The sequence below is a fragment of the Homo sapiens genome, chromosome 8 (assembly GCF_000001405.40).
Source record: "Homo sapiens chromosome 8, GRCh38.p14 Primary Assembly".
Taxonomy (NCBI): domain Eukaryota; kingdom Metazoa; phylum Chordata; class Mammalia; order Primates; family Hominidae; genus Homo; species Homo sapiens.
In genome coordinates this window covers 26,029,426-26,054,405 of record NC_000008.11, presented here as the reverse complement: position 1 = coordinate 26,054,405, position 24,980 = coordinate 26,029,426, and the positions used below count along the sequence as shown (strand labels likewise).

General features: G+C 49.3%; 1 protein-coding gene across 1 annotated transcript in view, besides 6 other annotated features; it reads left to right on the top strand.

Annotated features, from left to right (window-relative positions):
- Nucleotides 1,770-2,647: an enhancer, noted in NCBI's record as "H3K4me1 hESC enhancer chr8:25909275-25910152 (GRCh37/hg19 assembly coordinates)". NCBI's record gives its function as "activates a minimal SCP1, AML or CMV promoter by ChIP-STARR-seq in naive and primed H9 embryonic stem cells {active_cell/tissue: H9 hESC(naive and primed)}" and the evidence as "EXISTENCE:reporter gene assay evidence [ECO:0000049][PMID:30033119]".
- Nucleotides 2,648-3,527: an enhancer, noted in NCBI's record as "H3K4me1 hESC enhancer chr8:25908395-25909274 (GRCh37/hg19 assembly coordinates)". NCBI's record gives its function as "activates a minimal SCP1, AML or CMV promoter by ChIP-STARR-seq in naive H9 embryonic stem cells {active_cell/tissue: H9 hESC(naive)}" and the evidence as "EXISTENCE:reporter gene assay evidence [ECO:0000049][PMID:30033119]".
- Nucleotides 4,407-5,286: an enhancer, noted in NCBI's record as "H3K27ac-H3K4me1 hESC enhancer chr8:25906636-25907515 (GRCh37/hg19 assembly coordinates)". NCBI's record gives its function as "activates a minimal SCP1, AML or CMV promoter by ChIP-STARR-seq in primed H9 embryonic stem cells {active_cell/tissue: H9 hESC(primed)}" and the evidence as "EXISTENCE:reporter gene assay evidence [ECO:0000049][PMID:30033119]".
- Nucleotides 5,685-6,477: an enhancer, noted in NCBI's record as "H3K27ac-H3K4me1 hESC enhancer chr8:25905445-25906237 (GRCh37/hg19 assembly coordinates)". NCBI's record gives its function as "activates a minimal SCP1, AML or CMV promoter by ChIP-STARR-seq in primed H9 embryonic stem cells {active_cell/tissue: H9 hESC(primed)}" and the evidence as "EXISTENCE:reporter gene assay evidence [ECO:0000049][PMID:30033119]".
- Nucleotides 8,993-24,980, top strand: part of EBF2 (EBF transcription factor 2) — a 203,689-nt gene continuing 187,701 nt past the window's right edge. The window contains exons 1-6 of the mRNA NM_022659.4: nt 8,993-9,677; nt 12,155-12,311; nt 13,404-13,467; nt 13,735-13,790; nt 14,305-14,378; nt 21,253-21,321. Of these exons, the coding sequence (NP_073150.2) occupies nt 9,547-9,677; nt 12,155-12,311; nt 13,404-13,467; nt 13,735-13,790; nt 14,305-14,378; nt 21,253-21,321 (551 nt within the window). The 5' untranslated portion in view covers nt 8,993-9,546. The remainder of the gene's footprint in view (nt 9,678-12,154; nt 12,312-13,403; nt 13,468-13,734; nt 13,791-14,304; nt 14,379-21,252; nt 21,322-24,980) is intronic.
- Nucleotides 10,779-11,073: a silencer, noted in NCBI's record as "tiled region #188; HepG2 Repressive non-DNase unmatched - State 22:ReprW". NCBI's record gives its function as "represses a minimal TATA promoter and a strong SV40 promoter by Sharpr-MPRA in HepG2 cells {active_cell/tissue: HepG2}" and the evidence as "EXISTENCE:reporter gene assay evidence [ECO:0000049][PMID:27701403]".
- Nucleotides 16,623-17,206: an enhancer, noted in NCBI's record as "OCT4-NANOG hESC enhancer chr8:25894716-25895299 (GRCh37/hg19 assembly coordinates)". NCBI's record gives its function as "activates a minimal SCP1, AML or CMV promoter by ChIP-STARR-seq in primed H9 embryonic stem cells {active_cell/tissue: H9 hESC(primed)}" and the evidence as "EXISTENCE:reporter gene assay evidence [ECO:0000049][PMID:30033119]".

Below are 24,980 nucleotides of genomic sequence, written 5' to 3'. Positions count from 1 at the left end.
ATTGCTTGAACCTGGGAGTTGGAGGCAGCAGTGAGCCAAGATTGGCAACAGAACAAGAACCTGTCTCAAAAAAAAAAAAAAAAAATTTTTGATATTTCAGTATCTATAGCTAATCTTCTGTTTAAATTGGCCTTCTAAAACTTAGTCTTTATTGTTGAAAAGGGAACCAAGACCATAATGAACAAATCTATTTACTTAGGGCAAAATTTTTAATGAAAATAGAGAAATAAGAAAATATACATCAATATTTATCTTGGAATGGGGAAGGATTACCTGCAAACAACACAAAATGAACATATTATGCTTTAAAAAGTTTTATTTTTAATTATGAGTACATAACAGGTGCTAAATTTTATTTTTAATTATACACAAAAGATATTATAAAGAAAAACATGGGTGAAGTTAACTACACACAAGTTAAAGACCTATTGCAGGACATAAAATAAAATGGGCTTGTCTAAGGCCAGGCGCAGTGGCTCATGCCTGTAATTCCAGCACTTTGGGAGTCTGAGGCGAGCGGATCACTTGAGGTCAGGAGTTCAAGACCAGCCTGGCCAACACGGTGAAACCTCATCTCTACTGAAAAAATGCAAAAATTAGCCAGGCATGGTGGCACACGCCTATAATCCCAGCTACTCAGGAGGCTGAGGCAGGAGAATCGCTTGAACCCGGAGGTGGAGGTTGCAGTGAGTCGAGATGGCGACATTGCACTCCAGCCTGGGTGACAGAGCAAGACTCTGTCAAAAAAAAAAAAAGGGGGGGGTTTGTGGGGAGGGGGGCTTGTCTAGCTGCCTAATCCAACTGCCATTCTCAACCCGCCCTGAAGTGCTTCACAATGGAGGCACTTGCTTTCCCAGATAAACGTCTAACTATGGATGGCCACGTGACTCAGTTATGGCAAAGGAGGCATAAGGGCTGTTTCTGGAAAAGCTTCTACTTTGCAATCCACTGGGCCAAACCTGCTGGTGGCTCTGTTCCTCTTGCTTCCTGCCTTGAATGTGCGCCACTATTGCCGCCGTATCCGCCACTAGGAGGCAGTAACGGTGAGATTGAAACTCAACATGCAAAGCAAATGAACCAGGGTTGTTTGTGGCAACCTAACTTGGGGCCATCTACCTCCCGGCTTCTTGGTATGTGAGATAATTAAATGATTTTATTGCTTAAATTAAATTGCTGTTAGTCGCTTATTTGGGTACTTGCAGACGAAAACATTGTAACTAAAATACATCTGTATTTCTGCCACCAAAAAATTATAAATAAAATTACCAGCAAGCAAAGATGGAAAAAATATTTTCAACATATATGATAAATTAAAATTCAACGTCCTTAATAAAATAATATTTAACTCCCCAAAGATGTACACTGGCCAAAAAGTGTATGAAAAACAATTTCCCCTTACTGGAAATTCACTAAATATAAATAAAGTACAAATACTAAAGGACATTTCCAATCTATCAAACTGGGAAATTTTAAAAATAAGACTATAACTTCAAAGATTCAGAAGGTTGAGGGGTGAGGGCCAGAAGGGGTAATATCAGGTATTGCTGGCAAAAGTGTACATTTAGTCTTTCGAGAGGCCAAATTGTCAATCTGTATTAAGGTGTAAAAACATGCAAAGCCTTTGATTTTGCAATTTTACTTCTAGGACTTTATCTTAAGGAAAGAATCATAGTTATTGAAAAACTAAGCTACAAAGATGTTCATCATAGTATTGTTTATAATAGTGAAGAATTAAGAGCAACTTAAATGTCCAATCCAATAGACTGGTCAAACAATTTATGGTATGGATAGGGAAATACTATGCAAATATTAAATGTTACTGTAGAAAAATATTTAATGGCATAGGAAAATATGCTATATTAAGTGAGCCAACAGGTTACAAATCAGCATATAGTCTATGCTCCCATTTAGAGTACTGTATATAGAAATATGCATAAAATAAAGGGAGAAAACCCATCCAAATGGTAGCAACAGTTATTTATGTTGATGCCATTGGAGGCGGTTACAAATTTCTTTTGTTTTTATTTGTATATATTTTTCTGCAATAAACATGCATTGCCTTTGCATAAAAGATGCTGCAAGTTTTAAAAGAGCTTCTAGTTCTGTGGAATGGAAAAGTCTGGAACCTCACCCCTTAACACCGCCTCCCCCCTCCCCCCGCCACCACTGCCGCACCCCGCAGCCTCCAGTCAGCCACCTCCTGGCTGACAGTGTCTCAGTTCTCCCTCCCAGCTTCGTTTAATGCGGGCTCTGGAAAGCACCACTCGGGGAGCTCGGCTCTGGCTCTCGGGAGACAGAGACCAGTAGTGTCAGGCGAGCCGCGTCTCTTCCTGAGGGCGCAGGGCGGGGAGGGGCTCCCCAAGCTCTCTGTGAACCACTCATCGACGGGGGTTTGTCGTAGAAACCGAAGATCCATTTCAGAGCTCCTCGAGATCTTCAATTATCTAGCGAGTTCCGCGATCCATCCCAGCACGCGGCCACGCAGCGAACCGCACTTGCATTCGGGGTGCGCCCTACTCACTGCCGCGCGCAGCGCGGAGCCCCCAGCACAGCCTCCTAGGAATGAAGTCGCATTCTCTCCCTGGGTGAGACCCCGCTCAGTGACCTACGGTGCCCTCTGACGCCCGCGTGCACCAAACAGCTTCCAAAGCGCTTTTCTCACATGCAATTCCATGCGGAACAAACAAAAAGCTTATCACCCACTGAGCGATCCAGTCCCTGTGCCAGGCAAAGGAGCTGCAAGGACAAGCGAGTCAGAATCCCTGCCTCAGGAGCGCATAGGTCGGGGGAAAGGAAACCCATCCCCATAGGAGACTCAGGACCCAGTGAATTCCATAAGCAGATGTGATCATCCTCATCTTACACCTGCAGATGCTGAAGGAAAGCAAGCGTTTATTGAACACCTACTGCGTGCCAGATACTTTCACCTAAGCTGTCTTATCCGTAAGGCAAGCAAAGCTCTGAGGAATAAATATCCCCATTTTACCAGTAAGGGAGCTGAAATTCAGAGGAATAACATTCCCATTTAACTGGCTAGGAAACCGAGGTTCAGAGGAGTAACAACAAATGCCAGAGACCTTATTAGTAAATGCCAGCCTCTAACCTGGGTCTGCGGACACCAAAGTTTCTCCTTCGAGTGAGGACAACAGAAACGACCGAACTTGCCCGGGTTCAGATCCACGGAAAGTGGACATCACGGGTTGTGAGGGTTTCTGGGCATTTAGTCCAGCGACCCCTACGCGGCGAGGCCAGCATTGCCCTATAAACGTTGCTCTAAGCACTTACCGCGCGGGGTGACTGTCTGAACGCAGTGACCCCCAAGCCCTGTGACCCCCATCTGCTCTCCTTTGGGAGAAAAGAGTAAGTGGAAGTTGTGTCCCCCTTCGAGGGTGGTATGGAGCTGCCCGGCCAGGAGAGCGATCTCTGTTTTCCCAGCTGGCTCTGAGGTTTTCCGTGGGTGCCATGTCCCGTGCGCCCTGGACCCACTGGCGCCCCGAAATGATTGCCCGGCTCGCGGCAGGTGAGGGGGTGGGGGTGGAAGGTTCCGTGAGCCAGAAATGGAATTTCTAGGCCTTGGGCTGTGTTTGGAGAGATCCCATGATTAGAAGTCCAGTTTGCACCGTCAAAGACTTCTTGAAATCCGTGCACTCTATGCAAGTGACTTTCCTGGATTTTCTCTCTTGCCACCTGAGTGAGGTGTGCCAGTGTAGGTGGAGGTGATCGTGATGGTGTGCGAGTGCGTGTGTGTGTTGGAGGAGGAGGTTGCCTAGTGCTAAATGGAATGAAATTCTAGATGGTGCCATATTTGCAGCTGACCCCCGCCGCCAAAGTCTCCCCCATCCTCAAATCCGGGAGGCGGGAGTCGCGGTGACTAGTATATTATGAGGAAGAAAGTTGGATCTGAAAGCCAAGGGTGTTTGTGGGGGCCTGGAGGAAAAGGCAGCCGGGTTGGGGGTGGGTAGGCAGCAGTGAGCGGGAGACTTTTGTCACCCCTCCCTTATCCGAGGAGGGCCCCGGGCGCGCGGGGCGCTGCTTGCGTGCGGGGCCGAGTGAGCGCTTGTGCATGTGGGTACGTCAGTGTACGTGTGAAATGTGGCGGCGCCGGCCGCAGCAGAGTATGCGCTCGGTAAAAATATGAATAATCAACACATCGCTCACACCTCCGCCGCGATCCGGGAAGGAGCTGGGAGGTCCCTCGGGCTTTCCCCTGCCGGCTGGCGGGCACCACCAGGAAAAGGGGGGCATTTCAGAGTAGCTCTTCGGTTATCACTGAGCTAAGAAGCCGGAAAAAAAGAAAAAAGAAAAATGTCATATTTAACTTTTTCTTTCTGAAGGCCTTCTGTTGCACCCTATTGTTGAGTATTAGAAGTGGAAGATCGGGGAGGATCCTTATTCCCCATTTAGCAGCTGGGATGCCACTTGTCATCTCCCACCCTCATTTTGTTCATCTGTAAAATGGGGGCAAACAAATCAATAAATTCCACTGGAAGTGTTGCTGTGAAGTTTAAGGGCGAGAAAGGGCCTGGGCAAGTCCTGCCTCTGATCGTTAGTACCTTCCTCTTGGTCTTCCGTTTCACGGAGACCAGCATGATTAGGCCTTTTAATGCGGGTCAACTTGCCCTGATCGCTGCACCGTAAATAGTGATGACAGATGCCACCGCCTTCGTGCACAGTTCCCTGAAAGGGGCTGTAATCGGCCAGCCGATTTACCCCAGCAAGGCCCCCAGCAGGGGCTTCACGTGAAAGTCACCCCTCCCACCTGGGAAATCGGGTCCCCAGGTTCGCGTGGAAGCTATCAATCACTTCCCTATACAGACAGCCTGTTCCGCAGCACACACACCTCCCGGGCCTCTATTTCCGCGTGGTCACCCGCGCTCCCCAAGCTGCTGCTGCGAGAATTTGTTCTCTTGACCTTTCCGCTTTGCTTCCTCGCTCGTTCTGCACCCGGAATAAGGAGATGGGAAAGAGGGATATTTCTGAAGGAGAATACCAGGGGGAGGAGGAGCAGAGGAGAGGAAGACGAGGAGGAAGACTTTCTGGAGTTGCCAAGTGTTAGGGTAGCGGTGAATCTGGCTCCTCCAGTCTATTTTGGGTAAACTTACTGCAGTGCCCCGACTGGCCTGGATACAACCGACATCAAGTGTCTCTAAAACGTTCCTCCACGACTCAGTATTTCTGCAGCTGTTGCCGCTGAATCTCCTTCACTATGCGAAAACAAAAGAAGCGAATCCACTTCTTACCCAAATTGTCCTATAAGGGAGCTGTTTGGTATTGACGGCGGAGTCCCCCTGAGATATTTGTCGTGCATTTATGATTAGTTTCTTTTCTCCCACCCTCTCTAGGGAATTTGCATTTATAGAACATACAAATCTAGTTTCCGGAAGAAAATGCCAAAGTTGCAATTTGGTGTGAGAGTTAATGGAGTTCGATATTTAAAAAAAGCATTTCATAAAGAATTGTGAGTTAAATATTCGGCAGGTCTCTGATATGCCAAGTAAAGCTATTTCTTTGTAGTCGGACAAAGAGTAAAAGTTCCAGCTTAAAAAATAAAAAACCCAAAATTGTAAAATTCACGTTCGAAGACAGGCCAGGGGGACAGCCACTTTTTCCATTTATAAAACCCAGACTGGCTCTCCCTGTGAATCGAATTCCCCGGCTACTGTCTGGCTCTGTGCTTCGGCGCAGGGGGTGTGTGTCTGGAAGAGGGGGTGAAGGTCGTATTTAGGGGTGTGTTCTGACATCTCTGAATTCACCCCAGTGTCCTGCCGGACAGGAACACAGCCAGGAGAGCAGTTTCTAAGTAAAATTTCCGAACCTCTGATCGGGAGGAGAGACTTGGCGCCCAGATGACTGGACCGGACGAGATTGAGCAAAGGGGCTTAAAACCAATTAAAAGGAAATCGAACATACCGCACTGGGTTGCAGACGTGAAACAGAAACATGAAAAAAACGGGGGTGAGGGTCATTTGGGAAGGGTAAATGAAGAAGGGGACAGGGTAAAAGACAGACACCCCCAGTTTTGTATAAATAGATTGTGAATAATTTTAATCATAGTGTTCATTTTGGATTTTTCTTGACCCGGGCTAGAGGCAGAACCGAGCTAGTTGGCCGGAGCCTGAGGAGCGCGTGGGCTCCGCAGTCCCGCGGGATTGGGCTTCCCGGGGCCGCAGCTGCGCTTGCCAGGCCCCCGCACAGCTCGGGGCAGGTTTTGTGTTGCACGAGATCGAAAAGGAGGTTTGTTTGGGGGTAGCTGGAGGCGACAGAGGTGGGAGCAACCCTCCAGGCGCAGCCGCCGCTGCTCATTCCCCCAACCAACGCATGTTTCGCGCGGGTGGCGGACTCCGCGAGCATTCCTACCCAAAACCTATACAGACGCAATTAACCCCAACTGGGTTGGCCGAAACGCCGCCACGCTGGGCCCAAGGCAGTCCTTGTCCCCTCACGCTCGCGCAGGCACTTCAGCCTGGCCAACAGGGAACTTCAACGCCCGCAGCGAGCCACACAGCCATCCCTGGAGCTCCCAGCAGCACTGCCGCGGGGGGCGCCCTTAGCGCAGCCGGCAAGTAGTGGGGAAGCCCCACTCTGTCAAAGTTCGGGACCACGGCTCCCCCAAATTGCCTCCCAGCGGGGCACCGAGGCCCCTGAGCGCGTCTCGGGGGGTTGGCTGGGAGGAGGGGCGCCCGCCGAGCGCGGCCCCGTCTGTTTTGGGGCGGGCAGCAGGGAGCTGGGAGAAAGGAACAATTCATTCGCTTCCTGAGGGGGCATAATTTGGGTGGCAGCTGTTACCGCCGAGAAAAGCTGGTGCCCTCGACCCTGACTTTGCCCTTTAACCCCAGCCAACCTGAGCCTGAGGGGTAAACTGTTGGGGCTTGGCCCAGGCCCACTGCTGACCAGAGGCCTCTCCGGGTGCCCTGCGCACCTTTCCGGGGCAACGTGGAGGTACAGCTGATCAAAGCCCCCTTGAAAAAAAAATCACCGGGCTCATAGGCATGTCTTGAAGGGCTCACGGCTGTTCCACACTCTCTGCCAAGGAACTCAAGGCTTTGGCCCCGCTGGGCGCAGACCCCAGACGAAGGGGGTGGGGGGGAGTTGCTTGAGGTTCGGAGAGATTTATAAAGAGAGACCGTAGAAGACTCCAGGTGATCAGTTTTTGCTGGGACCGAAATTCTCCGTAAAACCTGCATGTAACAGAGAATTGCCGAGTTGAAACAGGGCAGTGAATCTCATCCCTACAAATTTCCCTCCCTACCCCCTTCTTCCTTTGGACACTCCTGTCTTACTTGGCTTTTACTAGCCACCCGATCCATTTCCCAATCGCCCTGTATGGCTCTCCCGCCCCTTCCAGTCCAACAGGGAGGACCAAGCCAGAGCTCTGGGGTCGGGGTACCACAGTCAACACAACCCAGAGGCGGGGGGTTTACCTTCTCTACCTTCCCCCAAATCAATGACCCCAGTCCCTGGATCCCGGGGCCTGTGCAGAGACGGTCCGTGCACCCGCCCCGCAAACTCCCTAACCCCCTATCCGTTTTCAAGCGAATCTCCGCAGTTCGGACCAGCACTTCCTAGTCGCAATCCCGCGCACGCAGCGTGGTGCCGCGGTTTGTCCCTTGGGGAGGTGGAGGCGCGCACCGGTCCCTTTCTCGAGAGAGCCGAGTTTTCTTGAAGTGCAAGCTTCCTGTCAGCCTAGGCAAACCAGTTGCAAGGCGCTGTGTCCTCTAGCGGCAAACTCTAGCAGTTCATTTGCGAGCGCTCACCTACACCTAAGGGATCTGGTCTCTCAAATCTGAGACCCAAGAGGGGAGAAAGTGCCCTGAACGCAGTCCAGGCGCTCGCAAATGCCCTCCCCGTAATGAGACCGGGAGACTGGGGCGCAATCGCTCGAACTACGAACAGCTGATTGTCTCCTCCACGGCAGATGGTCTTTGAGCACAGATTTGCATTCATTGTCTTCAAATCTGTTTTCGCGCTGGTGTTCTAGATTTCAGCAGCAGCAGATCTATGCGCAGATCAGAATACAAAAGGAGAAGCAAGAAAATGACACCCAGCCAGGAGGATGTTTAATAGGCACCGCGAGCAGCCCCGCGCAGTTAAAAAACCGTCTAGGGTTTCAGCTGTTCGGTGAGGCTGCTGCCACCGCCTGCCGGCCACCAGCCCGCGGCCAGCACCGCGGCGACCGCGCGCGGTGGGCGAAGTTTCCACGACTCCCCCGTCCCTCCCCGCCCACTACCGGGGGCTTCGGGAACGGAGAGGTGGGGAGGGAACCGGAGGACCCGCGGGAATACTCCCCGGCCGCTCGCGCACTCAGCCCGCCTCGATCTGTCAGCAACCTCTCCTCCACACGGGTGCGACTGCCGCTCGCGCCCGCCCGCCCGCGGGTGTTTTCCTTAGGTCCTGGACCGTTTTCCCCAGCACTGTATTTGAGCAGCACTTGCCCCTCGCTTGTCCGCCCCACCCCATCCCCCGCCTTCTTTCATATGTTCTCCACTCTCAGCAACGTGCAAGCCGCACACAACATCTGATATCACCATGGAACTCCAGGAGACCTGGGGAGCCATTCAGGGAGCTGGGTGCTCTGGGGGACGTTTGCGCAAAACATAAGCACATGTGGCCACGCTCACAAGCATGCACACAGATCCGAACCCCGGGAACGAACGTGCCTCCCGGCAGGCTACAAAAGCCTACATCTAGAGGCAGGATCCAGGGAGGCTTCCCGCAGCCAGGCCGAACCCCTGCGTCCCCAGCCCGCAGAGACCTGCTACCCTAAGTCAGTGCAGGGTGTGGGGGCCCCCCAATCCTGCGCAAGCACACGGGGTTCGTGCTAGGACTCGACGCCCGCAGCTTTCTGTCCCCTTTCACCTCCCGGAGTCCCGGCAACGCAGAGCGTGGCGCGCGCCGCCGGAGGACGTCGGCCCGGCTTGCCAGGCGCCGGCCAATCCCGCGCGTCCATGCAAATGAGGCTCCTTATCGGGCCGCAGCTCCGCCTCCCGCAGCCAGGGCCGTAGTAACCCATTCATGGGGCCCGCGCGCGGCTGCAGCCGGGCTCCGTGGCGCTCGCAGCCACCGCCTCCTCTCGGCTCCAGGTCTTCCCCTTCTTTTTACAACTGATCCTGTTGGGGATTTTTTTTTTTTCTAAATTGGAACGGTGGGGAGGAGCAGGGAGGGGGGACCTGGAGGAAGGGGAGAGATTAGGCAGCCATCAATTTCCTCCAGTTTCTCCCAGAACAGGTGATGCTTCTAAATTGTGATCACTTTCAGGAGGCAGCACTGCAGCTGGAAGGATGCGAGCGACCTAGGGTGGAGTGGCTGAGGCGGCAGATCTGAACTTGCGGAGGATAAGAACCCAAACTTTGACTACATCAGTCCGCACCTCGCCAGTGAAGCAAAGGACGGGTTATCTTTTTTTTTTTTCTAAGACTCAAACTTGGGCACTTGATCCCTTTTCTTGGATTGCTTTGGAGGAGACGATTTGCTGGCAACGTTGGGAACAGTCAGGACTGTGTTGTAACTCTTACTTTTAAAGCGACAGTAGAGGATCAGACTTTTTAAATGTTTGGAATTCAAGATACTTTAGGAAGAGGACCAACTCTGAAAGAGAAATCGCTGGGCGCGGAGATGGATTCGGTCAGGTCCTGGGTCCGGAATGTCGGAGTGGTGGACGCTAATGTCGCCGCGCAGAGGTAACGACACGGCCGCGCAATTATTATGCTGTCTCTCGCTCTTACGGTCTGTCTCTCCGTGTGCACCCCCCCCGCGCACCCCGTGCCTTTCTCTCTCCCTGTCCCCCCATCTGTCGCCCAGGCCCTGCGCGCTGGGGCTCGCCCTCGGGCAAGCAGATCGCTGCAGTCAGGCGAACGCTCACCCGGCAGCCGGCACTCGAGTTCCTGAACTGCCTGGGTCGTAGGCGTTTCTCTCCCTCTCCTTTACCACAGTCCACTCTTTGCAAGGAAAAATAAAGTAGCCCCCAACATCTCCCAGCTCAGCCCCTAGTCCTGCAAGCCGAGCCGGCCTGGCCCCGAACGGAGCGTGAACACCGGCGCTGGCAGTGGCGGCGCGGGAGGAAAGCCGGCTTCCTGGCCACTCTTGGCTTCGCCACGCCGCCTGCGAGCGCCTACCTCCCGCATCTTGCTGGGCGATTCCTGGAGCCTGGGAGGCCGGCGGCCAGAGGGTGGCGGCGGCGAGGGGAGCGGGAAAAGCCGGAGCGGCTGCCCGGGAAGACGAGGCGGCCGGGAGCTCTGGGAGGGGGGACAGGCTGGAGGGTCCCGGCTCAAAGATAAAACAGTGAGCCAGACGAACGGAGCTAGGGAACTGGAGAAAAGAAGAGATTTAAAAGAAGAGAAAATACTGAGTCACAGTAGAAAGAGTTGCGGAAGAAGAAAGAGGCGAGAAAAGGCCACCAGCAGCTAGACTGGCTCAGGGATCGCCAGCCTCTGGTTTTGCGGATCCCTGAAGTTGACTTTGTGTTTAGGCGTCTGCGTGCTGGGATAGTAAATACCATGTCCGGGGTGCCACCCTACGAAGACATTACGGTCCCACTCTCTCATCACCACTACTGAGTTGGGATTTGTGGCCTCCAGGTCCTTGTCTGCGAGAGAGGCAGCCCTTCTACCCCCAAAGAGCCGATGAACTTCTTCCACTACCCTCGCTTCCCCTGCTGCCCTCCTGGCCACCCACATTTAAGTGCCAACATCACACGGAGAAATGATCCCTTTCCCAAACTGGCCAGGTGTCCCGGGTAGAGCGAACCGGCCTCTACCCTTGGAGCGGAGAAAGCAGAAGTTTTATCGCTCCGGGACTTGGGCCGGCGGCGGTTCCCTCCCTCCTGTGGCCCGGGGAGCGCGGATTTCCCTCCGGCAGACCGCACAGCGCGGCGGCCGCGGCTTTCCGCAGCGCTTCGGGACTGGCCCGCCTGCGAGCTAAGGGAAATAAGGCAGCACCGCAGAGCCAACTGTGCCGCGCATTTCCTTAGCTGGGCTCCTTAAAGACGCCTCCCTCGCTTTCCTTCCTTCCCGGGATCAAAAAGTTTGTTGAAGCTGGAAGGAGCAGACTTAGTGGGGGAGAGCTTAGCCAAAATGTTACCCCTTTCAAAAGAGTGAATGAAGGTGCTTGCGCACCGGGGTTCAACCTGGGAGACCCCAGCGCCGCAGGGCAGCTCCCGCAATCTGTGCGTTCACCTCAGCCCCAAGTCTTCGGTGAAATGGGATCTGATGGCCAGGTGGGCTGTGACTGCGACCGGTTGGCTGGGAAGCGTGTGCACACACTCAGCACGCTCGAGGGCGCCTTCCGGGTCCCCCAACTTGGGTTTCACAGTCACTGGGTTCGGCTGGCGCCGCCAGAAAACGCAGCATGAGTGGGGATCGCGTTGGCCCCAGGAAAGGAGGTTCTCGCCTTTTAACAGTTTGGCTTTTCCCCACCTAGCACCTCTGGGAGGGAGGGCCCCCTATGTCGGTCATCTCATTTGTGGTGGCCAGCGATCCCCGGGGCTGGTCGCGAGGATTCCGCCCTGTCTCTGTCCCAGGCACAACTTTTCGGAAGAGCGAGGCAAGCAGCCCAAGGACCCAGACCTGGACTCTGTGTTACTCTCCCGCCTGCCCCTTGGGGTTCTTACCCACTACCTTTCCCAGTCAGCATTTGGGCGTTGTGAGCAGTGGGTCCAGGACTGATAACTCGAATTAATACTAAATAAAAGGGTCGCTTCTTCCAAAGCAAAGGAGGCACTTATTCCCCTAACCCTGGGCCCCAGCTCTGCATCCTGATACACCCAGCAGTACCACCTGAGGGAGTGGATGGAGACAGCCCCACGGTATAGGACGCGGGCCACCTCCTTAGGGGACCACTCTGGGCCTCTGTCTGCAGCCGGGGTCTTTCGGTTTCGACTAAAGACGGGATGGTGAGTGGCCCAGCGGTGGGATGCCGGACCACTTGGTGGTGTCAGAGACCCCAGGTATCAACCCTGCCACCCAACCCCCGTGGCCACGGTGACTCCTTTAAGGAGTCTCCTCTTCCTTATCCGAATTGGAAAAAAGGCCCGAAGGGTTCAGAACTCTGGACCTGGGAAGTGGACCCCTTACCCCTCTGCAGTGTTGTGGGCGGTTAGTAACATCGCCTTTTTGTGCTTCCCCGTGTCTTGTGTTCCCCCGTTTTTCTCCCTGTGCAGCGGGGTCGCCCTGTCCCGGGCCCACTTTGAGAAACAGCCTCCTTCCAACTTGAGGAAATCCAACTTCTTTCACTTCGTCCTGGCGCTCTATGACAGGCAGGGCCAGCCGGTGGAGATCGAGCGGACGGCCTTCGTGGACTTTGTGGAGAATGACAAAGTAAGCGGAAAGTACCCCCCAAACCCCGCGGCCTAATAACTCCCTCTTGCGAAGCACTAAAGATTCCATCTGTCACTCTCGCGACACTTTTCCACTCTCACCATCAGGGATGATAAATCGAGGCTACTCACCCCCAGCCTCTAAATCAGTCGATTTCCCGAACCTCCTCCCACCCCGACTCCCCCAACCTGGAGCTGGAGGAGCGCTCCCGGCTCTGCGCACCGAGCCTGGAGGCCTTAGTAGCGCCTGGTTATGGACTGACGGCGGAGCAAACGCCCCTTGGACTAGTTAAAAAGTACACCCAAGGCCGCCGCTCCCCTTCTCTGGGTTAATTTTAATTATTTTGCACCTGCGAGAGCCAGGTGGCCTGAGTTGCGGCACTAAGTGGAAACCGGCAGCCCAGCCTTGGCCTGCCTTCTGGCCGTGTCTTCTCTCCTGTTCTGTTCTCCAAGGCAGCGCCTCCTCCAAACTCAAGCCTGGAATTGGGGGCTGGGTTCGGTCTCAAATGAAGGACAGTCCGCCGAAACCTATGTGTGACCAAAGGAAAATCCCTTGCCCTTTCCGGGTCTCCGTGTCCCCAGCTGTACAATGTGAGCTTTAGAGTAGGCACTTCCCAAAGTCCCTCCTGAACCTGGAACTCAGTCCCTGAGCTCGTGGCCCTGCGTGCGCAGTCCTCGCGGGATAGGCCCGAATGCTGCCTTTCCAAATGACAAGTCCCTTCACTTTTCTGCCAAGGGAAGCCTTGGGGCTTCCTAAGGACAGACAGAGCCCGATGGGTTGGGTGGTGCCTGTTTAAAGGCAGCTTTGGCAAGTGGTCCTGTTGTCGGAAGCTCAAGGGTCACACTTCTGAGGACATTTTTAAGGGAGACAGAGGGCTGGAAAGGGTCAAGTGGCTACGAGTCTTGGCAAGTTTCCGGGGGCGGCCAAGGACAGGCAGATGCTCATGCCCTTTGACCTAGGGCTGAACAGGGGGTTACTCAAAGCTGCCTTTTGATGGGGAGAAGGGATGTGAGGTGGGGATTCACTGTCTCCTCTTTCCCTCATTTTGGGGGGCTGAAAGGCAAGGGAATCGAACGCTGCCTGTCTTTTCAGGAACAAGGCAACGAGAAGACCAACAACGGCACTCACTACAAGTTACAGCTCCTCTACAGCAACGGTGAGCTCTTCTACAGCAACGGTGAGCCGGCGCCTAGCAGCCGGCTTCCGGGCCGCACGCGCTGACCTTGCCATGATCACTCTCAGGGATCGCATGGAGCCCAGGGCGGCGGGAGGCTTGCCTGGGACAGGGGATTGGGAGGTCACCGTCTCCAGGGCGGCTCAGCATGGAGAGGCTGCTTGGGCCTCAGACCCATGGCAGAGAAGGGTTTGGGGTGCCCGGAAGGGGCTCTACGGCCCTTGACTCGTGCCCCTCCGGTCCCCGCAGGTGTCCGCACGGAACAGGACCTCTATGTCAGGCTCATCGACTCGGTCACCAAGCAGGTGAGCCGGAGGCCACTTGGCTTCTCTTCGCCTGTCTCTGACCCCGACCCCCAAACCCCCCAGTTTGTTTCTGACCTGCCCCTCCTCCACGATTTCCTGGGTCAGACTCCACAGCCCCCTCCACGTCCCCCTCCCAGCACCTTGTCTGCTAGGGAAGATTTTTTTTTTTTTTTCTTCCCTGTCTCACCAAGTGACCTGTTTTGTCTGGCTCAGGGAAACCCTGGGGGCAGTAAGAGGCGAACAAAAAGGATGGAGAGGAAACAATTATTGGGAGATTCAGTTCCCGCAAACATTCCATTTTGCTAAGAATGATGTTCTCACTGGGGCAAACTTCTCTATGATTTCAGTCGAGTCCAAACTCGGCAACCGCGCAGAATGTGCTGCGGGCGGGAATTCCTAATGCGGTGGCAGGTAGTGGGAGGGAAAGCGATGTTGTGCTTGTTCTGAAGTCCCTTCTTTCCTTGCCCCCCACCCCTCTCCACATCTTCCTTTCCTGCCACTACCTCCTTCACAGCCCATCGCTTACGAGGGACAGAATAAGAATCCGGAAATGTGCCGAGTTCTCCTGACGCACGAAGTGATGTGTAGGTAAGAGCCGCCTTTTCCCAGGCCTTCCTGGAGAGCCCGCAGGTGCTCCAGCCCCGCCTTGGCGCGCCGCGTTCCCGGGACTAACTTTCAGGACTGAGCGCTCGCAGCTGGGAGGCCTCGCGGGCAGACGGGCGCAGAGTGTAGATCCACGGAAACCCCTTCATGCAAGTGTCTTAAAGCATAACCATTGGGACTCAGAACGACTCGGGATTCCACCTCTCTGATGTCGCAGGAGTTTCCTCCGGCTACGTGGAAAGTCTCCACTGTGCCCTTGTCAGTGGTAGTGGTGGAAGCGGGCTGGGCAACCCCGGGCCGGGTTTGGGATCGGCTGGAGTTCCCGCCGGGCCTCTTGTGGTAGATTTCCAGTAACTCCACTTGGAGTTACTGAGTGAAAGCCCTGGAACGACTCCTAGTCTGGGCGAGGGACCACCAGAGGGTCCAGCGGCTCATTTCCGGGGTGCTTCCTGGCACCCAGGCACCTGCTGTGATGCGTGGGCGTTTCTTCCTCCCGGGAGGTTGCTCTCTTAGGAGTTCTCGTGTCGGGGGAGTTTCTCAGGTCAGAAGGAACTACCTGGAAGAAAGATCAGTCCAGTTCCCACCAGCGTTAGGAGGGGCAGGGAGAGGACCCGCTGGGAGATCTGGAGTGTGGAGCAACAGCTGGATTCTGATATTCACGTCGTGAAAGGTTCAGTCTACTGGCGTTCCTGCACCTTTCCCATCTTCCTTTCAGAGATCAATCCATTCCACCTTGAGTCCTGTGCATTCCCCCCCCACCCTTTTTTTCTGCCTGACTAGAAGAAAGTTTAAAAAATCAGAAGAATTGCATCTACCCTTATTCTTTCAACAAATGTTTATTGAGTGCCTAACGTGTGCCCGGTATCGGTTGGGTGCTGGGGATCCCACCGCAGACAAGAAAGGATATAAATAGGAAACTCTGGGAAGAGTGTGGCTATTTTATTATGAAAATTTAAATGTCTGCTCCATACATGCTTTTCTTCCTCCAAAAATCTTTGATTGGAGGGAAAGTCTCAATTCTTCCTTACTTGGCTATTGCTTTAGTCAATGTCTCCTAACTCCAGACTTACTAGCTTTGGGTAATTGCAGATTATCTGATTTAGTGTGTACTGTTTTACGGGCAGCTCCCTGAAGCCCTGTCTCCCTCCCCAACCCAGTCAGGAAGAAACCATAACAATCAGACATGTTTGTTTTGGTTTTGACCAAGTACCAAAACAAACTTTCCAAATGCCAGTGGCTTCAGCTGAAAGCAATGGAGGCTTCCTTGCTGGAGTAGCTGGGGGGAAGGCATTGGGAGGAGTAAGAAGATAGATACTCCAATATCTCAGGGACGTTTGATAGATTTGTTCAGAAAGAAAATACAGTTCTGAGATGTAGTTCATATAATACCTAGATTTAAATAGAACGCTTTGATTAGGTTGGTTAGTTGAAGGGAGGTTTTTCTTTTTATGCCTTTGTTTGGAGAGATTACCTCCTGAAAAGGAAAGAAAACAAAAAATTGATCCATTGTCTAATGAATTATACCTATCATTTAAAATAATACTTGCATGCCCCATCCAGCTGTAGTTAAGACTGACATTTTTATTTTTAAGCCCAATCAAATCCTCCTCATTTTATGCTGTTTAAGTAGCAGCATCAATTTTTAAAGCCTCTAGTTTAGTCTGCATTAGTAACACAATATAAAAATTTAATGTACTGTAACTTCTCTGCATTGGAGACCTGGGAAGATGCTCTGCTGTTTTCTTCCCAAACTACAATTTAAAATAAATATTAATTATGTGTAAATAAATGATCCATTGGATGGATACTGTCTGCAGCATACATGTGTGTGTGTACATGTGTGCAGATGAGATGGGTAATGGCAAATATTAGATGCATCCAAAAGGGAAGTTCTCATTCAATCTGTCAGTTAGAGCTGGTTGATACTCCAGGAAGGGGGAAAAGTTCCTTCTCTTACATTTTAAGAGCCAGTTGTAGCAGTCAATGATTGAGAGATGAATCAGGTGCCCTGTTTCTCAAGGGTTATTGCATATACTTAGTTTCATTTGCATAGTGTTATTTGGCATACCTGGGCACTTCCCCGGATGGTTTTATGTTCCGTAATCTTTAGTAAAAGCCTCATAAATCTGTGTTTAGCTTTGAATGGGGGAACAAAGCAGAGACAAAATAAATCTCTTTAGGAATAACTTTTTTTTTCTCCCTTCCCCAATGGTCTCTGTTCCTCTCTTCCCTGCTTTGGTTCATTTTGCCAATTATTAGCAAGGAGAAATCTAGTTGTTATGTCGCTGCCAGCCACCCCTGAGCCCTCAATGCTCAGAGGGTTAAAAGATATTATAATTTGAACAGAAGTCGTCTCAAGGCCTACAGCTGGCTAATAACAGAGTTGTATTGAGCTTGAGCAAACCCCACAGCTGTGACTTTTCGCCACAAGGCGCAGGCTAGACAGGGCCCTAATCAGATGGGCCAGCCGGGCAGTGGGGCCAGTGTCTTTATCGGCCAGATGGTGTGAATTTAGACACTTTTGTTATGCAATCGCAGGGAGGAGTTGGGGAGAAGAAAACAAAACAAAAGCCACCATGCTGTGCGCTTATTTGAGTTTGAAATTAGAGACAGATTTTTGAAAGTTGAAGGTTGAATTTTAAAAACTATTTTGGAGGGGAAAGGGACACACTCGCTTGTCGTGAGCTGGAGTTTGGCTGACGGGACACTCTCTGTCCAAGGCTGGGGCTTTTTCCCCTTCCCCAGCCATCTTTTATTCCTCTTTTTCCCTTTCTAAAAAATGCAGGTATGATTCAGGATTGTGATAAGAGTTCTCATATTTCCCCACCTCCCACTTCCAACTTGTTTTATTTTTTCTCTCTCCTTCAAAGACTCCGGGTGGAGATGGGGAGAATAAATTGAGAGTGTTTCAAGTAAAAGATTCTCCAAATAAGTACTAGAATAAAATAAACCAAACCAAGCCAGAGAGAAACAGTGGAACAGCTTTCATTTTCATTCATTAGGAAAAAAGAGCACCTCTGAGTCTCTCTGGGGTTGTTACGAACACAGTCTTAACCTATTGCCAAGCTCAGTTTCCTCTTCTCTTTGTTTTATTTATTTTTTTATTACTTTTTTTTTTAATCTTAGAGTCATTTTTAGTTTTAGAAAACACTTATCAGGAACTTCAGACTTGCTTGTTGGAGAATAATCCTAAAAGCCTTTTAACTAAAGTAGCTGAACCTGAAGTTGGTCACTCAGGCTTTGTTTACACAGCAAAGGGAAGGCAGAATTGAGTTTATCATCTGAGTAATTCAGGGACCTGGTTTCTTAGCTGTTCCACACTGTTTGGGGAGTGTAGGTTCACAAACATCTCAGGTTCTCCACTTCCCATTGCTTGTGCTAATATTGCTGGCAGGAGGACTGAATGCCGTTAAAAACAAAGAACGACTAGAACATATTAGTGAGAACTTTTCTAAAAAAAAAAATAATAATTTGCTTTGGCCAACTTAACAGACCCAGAAAAAAATTTAAGATGGGCTCAAATGGGGCTAATTCAACCAAGTTCTATTATTTTTATACCTTTACTATTATAGTTCAATGGCCAAGTGAGTGTGTTCTATGTATGTTTTGTGCTGAATATCAGCATTAGAGATGATATTTAAATATGTTACTGTTGGAAAATGGAGGATTGGATCCTAAAGTTTATCTGCATTTTTCTTTGAATATCATTTCCTCCCAAGTTCTTTCCCTACATTATACTACACTGGCACCAGGCTTACATTTTTATCTGTTTTCTTTTCCTCCAGAGGAAATCCCCACGGAAGGCAGCTGAATTCAGCTGAACAATTTTGAAAACTTACTCAGCCCCCTCAGAATCATTCCTACCCAAACTAAACAGATTGGCACGTTCTGACAGTGTGTGCTCTTGTAATTAAATTGTACCCGGCATTGCACACATATTTGGGGTTAGGTTGACATGCTGGTGATGTCAAAAGGGAGAGTCTTGCTTGAAGGTCTGTAGGTAGCTGGCATGTATGGGTCTTTTGAAACTGTGTTGCTAAGAAAAATGGTTTGCCTGAGCTGCAAAGGTATTACGTTGACATAAGCAATATTCTAGAAACAGGAAAGGTGGGAGAAATGGGTGGGGGGTAGGGATTTGGGAAGAGAGACAAGGGCTTTAGGAGGTGGGAGAGCAGCTGGCCTGCATTTTTATTGGTGTTAATCTTGGGATGGATTGAAATTTTAAAAGTTAAGACCTAATATAATTTCAAAGGCCAAATATTATTTCAGAAAGTCCCAGTGGCAAACTCTGGTATTTAAGAAAGTTGAGACCATTTTTCTTTTCCTTCCTACTAATTTGATTAAATTTCTTAAAACCTCATTGTGCCCATTTGCTGCAAATGTTTAAGCATCTCTCAAGTATATTTTACTTTCTGAGGATGGTAGACTTACTCACTTGCGAATCCACACACCCATGAAAGAGGTGGGTTTAAAAAGTTTTAAGATATTTATTTGTTTGTGTTTAATTCTGTGGAGAACCAGAGAGGGCAAATGAGCTGCAGAGAGCCACAGAGCTAGGACTGGGGCTTGGCATGGTGGCATACACCTGTAATCCTAGCACTTTGGGAGGCCGATGTGGGCAGATGGCTTGAGCCTAGGAGTTCGAGATCAGCCTGGGCAACACAGCAAGACCCTATCTCTACCAAAATGAAAAATAAAAAATTAGCCAAGTGTGGTGGTGTGCACCTGTTGTCTCAGCTACATATGGGAGTCTGAGAAAGGAGGATCATTTAAACCTGGAAGGTTGAGACTGCAGTGAGTCATGATCATGTCACTGCATTCCAGCCTGAGCAACAAAGGGAGACCCTGTCTCAAAAAAAAAAAAAAAAATTCTAAGACTGGGTTGGTGCTAGGCCATTGGGTTCCTGCTGTCACATGACTTCCCTTTTTCCTTATGTTATCACCACTTTCAAAGGGTGCTCATGGAATCCCCTAGCCTCATGGACTTAGACCTAGAAGACACTCTAGAGAGAATCAAATCCAACACTTTCACTTTATTCATAAGAAAGAAAAAGCCCAGAGGGGTTAAAGACATTTGACTAAATTTGTGAAGCTGGTTGGTGACAGCTTGGACACCAGAACGCTGATTCCCAGTTCAGCAATCTTCCTAAGGTATCATGTCAAACTTATGCTACAGAAAAACTACCATGGGCAGGGCAGTGTTCACATAGAGTTTGGTTATTGTTAGTGTGCTTACTCCTTAGGCATATTCTCCAACCAGTATGGATGATAAAGATTTTTTAAAAAGCCATGTCAAGGCTACATCCTTAGCCAACTATAGTTGATAGTGGACCATGTACCTGAGATGAGCTGAGAGGTATTCAGAAGTCTGTAGCCCTGATAGGCAGCAGATGGGCTCCCTGGTGGTAAGGGAGTGAATTCCCAGTGCTTCTTACCAGCAAGCTTCCTTTGCCCTTCTCACATTTGTCTAGGTATTTTCGAACAGATACCTTTGGACTGGAGTGTTTTGCACCCCTCTCAGGTCCTAGGGAGTACTTTCTGTTTGTTGTAATTGCCCCAGGGGATCTTCTTTATCTCCCTCTCAGCTAATCCTATCAGCATTTATTGAGGTCTTTCTATCAGGTACCCAGCACAAGAGGGACGTCTTGGAAAGTGGAGTTTTCAGAGCTGGGACTTACAAACAGTGGGATACCATTTCTGTTTCAGACTTGGTAAAAATTATTGGAGCTACCATCCAACAGCTCCTTGCTTCATTTTCCTCGTATTTTAAAATGTATACCATAGTTCTGGTCTTCCTACATCATCTGAAAAATGATGGAAATAAGTGAATGAATAAATGTTTATAAAGTATAGCAAGATCTCTGGAGAAAGATGTTATGTAAATAAGGTTTATAGTAATCCTGGCAGCCACTTGCAGTCTATTTTACATATTTTCCTTCCTCTCGTTTCTTTAATTATTTACTGAGCCACAAATATCTAAAATATCATAAAATCATTGAATATCAATCTGGAAGTGACCTTATCCATCTTAATATCCAACCTTCCGTGGTTCCGATTACAAATATGACTCATGGGAAAGTTGTGATTTGCTGAGAATTAGCCAGCTTCTAAGTCACAGAGTGAGAATTTGAGTATATTTTGGCTTCAGGTTCAGTGTTTTTTATTTTTTATTTTATAAAACATGGTCATAAATCCTGCCCTCAAGTAGCTTATAGTTGGGAAGCTACCTTAGACAGATTCATTTTTTTTTCTTCAACTTTTATTTTAAGTTCAGGGGACCATGTGCAGGACGTATAGGTTTGTTACACAGGTAAACATGTGCCACGGTGGTTTGCTGCACAGATCAACCCATCATCTAGGTATTAAGCCCAGCATCCATTAGCTATTCTTCCTGAGGCTCTCCCTCCCTGCACCACCCCTCGGACAGGCCCCAGTGTGTGTTGTTTCCCTCCAAGACAGATTCACGAAGGTGAATGTTCTTGTGGCCAGGCACTACAGCTCATGCCAGTAATCCCAGCACTTTGGGAGGCCGAGGTGGGCAGATCACCTGAGGTCAGGAGTTCAAGACCAGCCTGGCCAACATGGTAACAACCCATCTTTAGTAAAAATACAGAAATTAGCTGGGCGCGGTGGCACACACCTGTAGTCCCAGTTAGTCAGGAGGCTGAGGCAGGAGAATTGCTTGAACCCAGGAGGCAGAGGTTGTGGTGAGCCAAGAAGGAGGCATCAAGCCATTGTACTACAGCCTGGTGACAGAGCCAGACTCTGTCTGGGGGGAAAAAATGTTCTTGTCATGTGCTCATTGCATTTTCTTGATTTAATAAATTTCTTTCACTCTTGGTTCCTTCCCAATCTACAGTCGATGCTGCGAAAAGAAAAGCTGTGGAAACCGAAATGAGACTCCATCGGACCCAGTCATAATTGACAGGTAGGGGGAAAAAGTGATTTTTCAATCATTTTTGGTTCCTTTTCTTCATGAACCTCAACTCTGAGTACTGATCCATGGAGCTTTGCTGTCAAGTTGGTTTCATGTTATTTCAAGTCACTAAGCTCATCCAACAAAGGCCTCCTCATGCTGGCCTTTCTTGGAAGAAGCCAGAATCTTCCTTTGGAACACGTGTCTCTAAATCTGTGGTGGAGTCTTTTCCAGGTGCACCAGCTTCAGCCTAATAAGTAGTATGTGTGGTGCAGGATATAAGCGATGGCACCTCTCCTTTCGGGCAGGGTATGGTCTCAATCAGTTTTCTAGAAGAAGCAATGTGCCCCAAGTTAAGTGGCACCCACTTTATTATTCTCGGTGATTGCTGCTTGGCTGGAAGATTATCAATTCAGATTACGGTTTAGGGGATTATGGCAAGCTCTCTGCTGTGTTCAGGGAGATTCCTTTCTACCATGGAGGATTGCATTCTGTGTTCTATGTTATATTCAGAATGGGAAAGATTCTTTGGGACAAGACACTAATTCACTGAAATGTGATTTAGGCATCCTCAGCTGTCTGTTTTTTGTGATTGGAAACAGAACTTACAAACCAATGAAGAAATACCAAATTAACTTCCAGAAATCATGTAATTTTTAAGAAACCCCATATTCCCATCCCTAATTTTTTTCTCTTTCGTTAAAAAACGGAATAATTCCCTATTGCTTCTTTCTTTGGGTTTTCACATTTCTAGCCAGGTCCTGAAATGGATTGGAGAGACCACAGTCTCCAAAGTTGTTATTCCAATATTCCAACGAATTCTCAGTTGGGAGAATGGAACCTCTGGCATTCTTCCCAGAAAGCCAGCTTGGTTTCTTCGTGGAAAGTATAGCATAGCCTAGGAACTGAGGAGGCTGGAATTCTGATCTTGTCCTAGCTTCTGACCTTGGACAAAGCACTCAGCATCTTTGTTCTTCAATAATATAATGATGGGTTAGGAGGTGCAGTCACTTCTGTAGGCTTCAAGAGGCTACTGAAATATCAATGGCAGCTTTGCAGTGTTCTCTGAGATGCTTGAAGAGGATGATGGGCAAATATAAAATGTTTGTTGGATGTGTATAGTGTCTTTGCCATTTTAGAAGGTTCCAGTGAGCTGCGTTTTAGGGAGCTATTGGGGTTGCTCTGGTCTTTTTTGAAAGTACAGAGAAGCTTAAATATATAGAGTTGCAAGGACTCTTTGGAGTCAGTCATTTTCCTCATCTAGCTGAAAAATCTGAACGCTGAGCGGTGGCATGACTTGCCCGTGGTTGTGCAGCTGGTTGGGCAGAGCTGGCATTAGAACACAGCTGTCCTTACTTCCAGGCTGGGTGCCGTAACTCACGCCTGTAATCCCAGCACTTAGGAAGACCGAGGTGGGCAGATCACTTGAGGTCGGGGGTTTGCGACCAGCCTGGTCAACATAGTGGACCCCAGACTTTACTAAAAATACAAAAATTAGTCAGGCATGGTGGCACATGCCTGTAATCCCAGCTACTTGGGAGGCTGAGGCAGGAAAATCGCTTGAACCCAGGAGGCACAGATTGCAGTGAGCCAAGATCACGCCACTGCACTCCAGCCTGGGTGACAGAGACAGTGAGACTCTGTCTCAAAAAAAAAAAAAAAAAAAAAAAGAAAAAGAAAAAAAGGAATACAGCAGAACTGTCCTTACTTCCAGACTGTGCTTCTCTCCATGGCCACAACCTCATTCTCCCAGCACTTTTTCTGTCCTAACTGATGAGTTGGATCTGTTCATTTCTGTGTTTCCCAGGGATTCTCTGGGAGACTGGATGCATATGAGAGCAGCCTAGACCCTGTCCTTTCCGGCCTGTGGATTGAGCTCACTAATCTTGATCTAGTCTTTTCCACTATCTTTAGCTTCTCTTTTAAGAAGGTACTCTAACCTCATGACTGTTACATCCTTTTTCGTAATAAACACCCTGTAAACCGGCTTTAGAAATGTTTGCAAATCTGTAAATACTCACCTGCACCTTGCTTCTCATAAGTACACACCTTAATGGCTCTGCACTAAGCAGGAGCTCTTACTTTAAAGAACTACATCTCACTGCATTCACCGATAAAGTTGAATATGCTCATGTTTTCTTCCTATGTAACACACATATTACATGTACAAAAGAAAGTATCTTTGTGTCTATAGAAAGAAAAGATTTTCATATTAGGCGCCTTCATAGTTTGTGCTAGCATGCTTTAAATTCTTCTGAGAAAGTGGAAATCGTATCTTGGCTGCAGATTATGAGTTTTATGTGACTGTGGCATTTATTTTTACTATCCTATGTGCAATAAAATAGCCCAGTGATGTCTCTGCCTCACTTGAAATGTGCGTTACTTCCGAAATGTTGCATGTCTACACATGGAAACATACATACCAAAGGGTACTGTAAATAGTCCAGTATCAGGTTTTAAGTGAGCCCACCTTACTATAAACAGATCCATTTGTTTGGCTTGCTTATTGTAGGGCTTTTTTTTTTTAATTGAAATTTTAGGGTACATGTGCACAACGTGCAGGTTTGTTACATATGTATACATGTGCCATGTTGGTGTGCTGCACCCATTAATTCATCATTTAACATTAGGTATATCTCCTAATGCTCTCCCTCCCCCCTTCCCCCACCCCACAACAGTCCCCGGTGTGTGATGTTCTCCTTCCTGTATGATGAGTTCATGTCCTTTGTAGGGACATGGATGAAGCTGGAAACCATCATTCTCAGCAAACTTTCGCAAGGACAAAAAACGAAACACTGCATGTTCTCCCTCATAGGTGGGAATTGAACAATGAGAACACATGGACACAAGAAGGGCTTTTGTTTTAAGATAAGAGTTCTCTCACTGAAACCTTGTCTCATCGCTCCTGAATGTCTTTCGGGTTTACCTTAGCCTTCTTGCCTTCATTTTCAGAAGTAAAATGGCATGAAGCAACCTGAGCACCATAGTGGGATCCCATCTCTACAAAAACTAAAAAAGCTAGCCAGGTGTGGTGGTGCACACCTGTGGCCCTAGATACTCAGGAGGCTGAGGTAGGAGGATCACTTGGGCCCAGGAGGTGGAGGCTGCAGAGAACTGTGATCGTGCCACCATATTCCAGCCTGGATGACAGAGGGAGACCTGTCTCAGAAAAGAAAAGAAAAAAAAGGGCATAAAGTCAGGTTTCCATTTGTTGAAGGTGGGAATGGTGCTTACGGTATCCAGGGGTTTGGATCAGCCTTGCGTCTGGTCTCTGCGTCCATCTGCCAACTCCGTGAGTTCCCTTACAAGCCCCAAATGGGTGCAATGTAGTCTATTTTGGATTTCCTCTGTGTAAATATAGAACTCTGTTCCTTGTCCTTGTTCCTATAATGCCAACTAATTATCTCCTCCCCCTTCTCACCTAACCTTACCAGATGCAGTTAATTTACACTGTCTGTCTTTGCGTTTTCTCACACAACAGGCACACTCCACTCTGGCTCAGAAGAAGTCTGTTTATTCCCTTGAAATGTGCATGTTCCAGGGAGAGGGAGAGGATGGTTCCCCAACTTTTCACCACCAAGGACCCCTTAAGCTTCTTCCTTGGTGAACACAGGGTTTTGCAGGACTTTGCCTTCCAAACTGCTATGGACAAATAATAATGCAGCTATAAT